Raw genomic sequence first — 5,048 nt, forward strand, 5'->3', positions numbered from 1 at the left:
AGAAGTCCCACATGGGTTCTCACTGGGCTTATATCAGGGTATAAGCAGGCCTACTTTCTTTTCCTTGTTTTTTGTTTTCTTCCTTTTTTGTAGAGATAGGGGCTCACCATGTTGCCCAGGCTGCTCTCGAACTCCTGGCCTCAAGTGATCTTCCTGCCTTGGCCTCCCAAAGTGCTGGGATTACAGGCGTGATCCACCAAGCCTGGCCCCTACTTCCTTTCTGAGGTACTAGGAGAGAATCCTTCTTTTGTCTAGCTTCTTGAGGCTGTCCACATTCCTTGGATCCCTTATTCCATCTTCAAAGCCAACAAGGCGAGTTGACTACTATTCACATCACATCTTTTTGATCTTTATTCTTTGGTCACATATCACTGTGATCACAGCTGGGATATTCTCAGCTTGTAAGGATTCATGTGATTGGATTGGGTCCACCTTCATAGTACAGGTAATATCCTTATCTCACCTTAATCACACCTGCAATGTTCCTCTTGCCATGTAAGGTTAACATTATCACAGCTTCTAGGATTAGGGAATGGACATATTTAGAAGCCATTATTCTGACTAGCAAATAATTTAACTGGCACATCTGCATTTCTGTTTTAGTTATGTCTTATTTCATTTTGTATATCATTTAAATATCTAATTGTAGTGAAGAGCAACTTGTGAAGATTTAGTGGTTTATTAAGGCACCTTCAGCTCTTCTTCATAAATGAGTTAATATACTCTTACTTAATTGAAATCTTGTTTTTGAGATCCTCTCAACTTTTTTTTGAAATACCTTTTACATTTAGAATCTCAAGCCATAGTCTTAATATTTTTTGAGCTATCTGTAGTCCTACTTACACAATTCTCAAAAATTTATTGTGATAATATTTCCCCCTCTTTCTTATACCTAAACACAGTCAGCCTTGAGAAACTATTTCTCATAGGTGTGCCCGGATTACATTTAAATTAATTTGGAATGTAAAATTACATGCATACACACTTCTTTGAACAGACATGCGGAGTGGTAGTATACGTGGTGTTAAGAAAGGTGTGTAGTAGAGCTATTGCTTGGAGTATTCTCTTTGCTTGTTGTGAAAGCTTGTGAGGAGACATTGGGCCATGTGGTCAGGTTTCTAACAGTTCTCGTATTGGCCTCAATTAGTTGTCTGCTTATTAATAGAAGTTATGCTACAGACTTCTCTGTCTCTGTAGACCCAAACTGTTATATTCACCCTTTTTCTGCATATACCATTAAATTTAATGTCCCCAAATATTATGTGTATGTTATGTTATATACACATACATCATTAAGTCCCACATCTCAAAGAAATTTTTCTCTGGAGTCCATTTCTGTTTTGCCTATCCCTCTATTGCCATTTTCTATACTACCTCTTCATATACCTTAAATTAGCTAGTATCTGTTTATATATTCACATCACATTTTTGCAAGGTAGATAAAGGAAATTGCTCTCAAATGATGGGATTTTTACTTGCTGTGTTTCAGTTTAAAACATCCTTTTCCCCCACAAAAACTAGTTTTATAAACATTTGTGAAGCAGACTGCGTAAAGGAAATTGCTGACACAACTTAACTGCATCTATAATCGTGCAAGTGATATGACTGCATGGGGAGAGCAAAGAAGATAGAAGCAAAAATTGGCTATATTTTCAACTTAAGTCTCAATATGAAAAAAGAGACTAATGCCATTTAGTTATAATTTGAAGTGTTTGGAATATTTTTACTTTGTAGACACTTGGCTAGAGTGCTCCAAATAGAGATATGTGTCTTACAGTCTAAACGGAGCTTTTTTTTTTTTTTTTTGAGACGGAGTCTCACTCTGTTGCCCAGGCTGGAGTGCAGTGGTGCTATCTCGGCTCGCTGCAACCTCCACCTCCTGGGTTCAAGTGATTCTCCTGCCTCAGTCTCCCGAGTAGCTAGGACTACAGGTGCGTGCCACCATGCCTGGCTAATTTTTTGTATTTTTAGTAGAGCCAGGGTTTTACCGTGTTAGCCAGTATGGTCTTGATCTCCTGACCTCATGATCTGCCCACCTCGGCCTCCCAAAGTGCCGGGATTACAGGCGTGAGCCACTGCACCTGGGCGGAGCTGTGTGTTGTATGCCTCTAGACTGCCTGTAATCCCAGAACTTTGGGAGGCCGAGGTGGGCAGATCATGAGGTCAGGAGACTAAGACCATCCTGGCTTAATCTCCTGTAGAGATTAATCTACTACAGATTAAGCTGTAGTAGAGACGGTGAAACCCCATCTCTACTAAAAATACAAAAAATTAGCTGGGCGTGTTGGCAGGCGCCTGTAGTCCCAGCTACTTGGGGGGCTGAAGCAGGAGAATGGTGTGAACTTGGGAGGTGGAGCTTGCAGTGAGCCGAGATCGCGCCACTGCACCCCAGCCTGGGCGACAGAGCCAGACTCCGTCTCAAAAAAAAAAAAAAAATACTCTCTAATGATTTTGAAAGAGACACAGCATGCTGTGTCCTGGGAAAAATCACCTAACCTCCAGGGTTTTTATTATTTTTACTAATTTATTGATTTGAGACAAGGTCTTGCTCTGTCGCCCAGGCTGGAGTGCCATGGCATGATTACGATTCACTCCAGTCTTGAATTTCTAGGCTCAAGCAATCCTCCCACCTCAGCCTCCTGAGTAGCTGGGATTACAGGTGTGTGCATCCAAGTACAGCTACTTTTGTAATTTTTTTTGTAGCGATGAGGGTCCAGCTATGTTGCCCAGGCTAGTCTCAAATTCCTGGGTTCAAGCAATCCTCCCACCTTGGCCCCCCAGAGTGCTGGGATTATATGAGTGAGTTACTGTGGCTTGCCTTTTTTTTTTAAAATATATATAAGGAATATTATAGTGCCAGTGCCTTTCTGTCTGGTGTTGGAGGTCCCATTATAACATCTGTAAATTATATATATTTTTAAAATGATTACATTAGATTATTATATTTGCTCTTGGCTGCTTCTGTCTTTCGCACGACATCTATGGGCATGAACAATATCTCCAACTCCAGATATGTATCTCTGTGTTAGCAATATCCTTAAGTTAAGATCATAGTTCCTCTGAATAACTTTTAAAAATCAGATATGTTTTAGGAAATTACTGCTCTAGTGTACAACATTCATTTCTTTTCCACTGGTAAAATCTGGATTATATGTACAGGCATACCTTATGACAGGTTTAGTTCCAGATCACCACAATAAAGCAAATATCACATTAAAGTGAGTCATATGAATTTTTTGGTTTCCCAATGCACATAAAAGTTACATTAACATTATACCATATCTATTTAGTGTGAAATAGTATTATATCTAAAAAACAATGTATATATCTTAATTTTAAAATTTTTTTACTAAAAAAATGCTAACGATTATCTGAGCCTTTAGCTAGACATAATCTTTTTGTTGGTGGAGGGTCTTGCCTTTATGTGGATGGCTGCTGACTGACCAGCGTGGTGGTTGCTGCAGGCTGGGGTGGCTGTGGCAATTTCTTAAAATGAGACAACAATAAAGTGTGTTGCATTGATTGAGTGTTCTTTTCACAAAAGAATTCTCTGTAGCGTGAAATGCTGTTTGATAGCATTTTACCCACAGTAGAACTTCTTTCAAAATTGGAGACAATCCTTTCAAACCTTGCTGCTGCTTTATCAACTAAGTTACTGTAATATTCTAAATCTTTTGTGGCCATTTCATTAGTGTTCACAGCATCTCTACCAGTAGTAGATTCTGTCTCAAGAGGCCACTTTTTTTTTCTCATCCATAAAAGGGAACTGTTCATATGTTAAAGTTTTACAATGAGATTTCAGCTATTCAGTCACATCTTCAGCCTTCACTTCTCATTCTTATTCTCTTGCCTTTTCCACCACATCTGCAGTTACTTCCTCCACTGAAGTCTTTCTTGAACCCCTTGAAGTCATCCTTGAGGGGTGGAATCAACTTCTTCTAAATTCCTCTTAATCTTGATATTTTGACCTCCTCCCACAAATCATGAATGTTCTTAATGGCATCTAGAAGGGTGAGTCCTTTCCAGAAGGTTTTCAATTTACTTTGGTCAGACTCATCAGAGGAATCACCATCTATGGCAGCTATTGCTTTACAAAATGTATTTCTTGAGTAATAAGACTTGAAAATTGAAATTACCCCTTGACCCATGGGCTGCAGAATGAATATTGTGTTAGCAGGAATGAAAGACAACATTTATTTTGTTGTGCAACTGCATCAGAGCTCTTGGATGACCAGGTGAATTGCAGATGTGCTGTCACACAGGCTTAGTTTTCCTACGTATAGAGCATAGTCAGAGTAGATTTAACATAATTCTTAAGGGATCTAGAATTTTTTGAATGGTAAATGAGCATTGGCTTCAACTTAAAGTCACCAGCTTCACTAGCCCATAATAAGAGAATCAGCCTGTTCTTTGAAGCTTTGAAGCAAGGCATTGACTTCTCTTCTCTAGCTATGAAAGTCGTAGATGGCATCTTCTCATATAAGACTGTTTTGTTTACATAGAAAATCTGTTGTTTAGTATAGCCAGCTTCCTCAATGATCTTAGCTAGATCTTTTGGATAACTTGCTACAGCTTCTACATCAGCACTTGCTGCTTCACCTTGCACTTTAATGTTATGAAGATGCCTTCTTTCCTTCAACTTTAGGAACCAACCTCTGCTAGCTTCCAACTATTCTTCTGCAGCTTCCTCACTTCTCTCTGCCTTCATAGAATCGAGATGAGTTGAGGTCTTGCTCTGGATGAGGCTTTGGTTTAAGGAAATGTAGCTGGCTTGATCTACCCAGACCACTAACATTTTTTCCATATCAGCAAGAAGACTAATTCACTTTTTCATCATTTTTGTCTTCACTGGAGTCGTATCTTAATTTCCTTTAAGAATTTTCCTTTTCATTCATAACTTGGCTAAGCGGTGCAAGAGGCCTAGTTTTGGGGACATATCAGCTTTTGACATGCCTTCCTCACCAAGGTTAATCATTTCTAGTTTTTGATTTAAACTGAAAGACATGTGACTCTTCCTTTCACTTGAGCACTTAGATGCCATTGTAGGG

This window comes from Homo sapiens, chromosome 4, assembly GCF_000001405.40.
Source record: "Homo sapiens chromosome 4, GRCh38.p14 Primary Assembly".
NCBI lineage: Eukaryota > Metazoa > Chordata > Mammalia > Primates > Hominidae > Homo > Homo sapiens.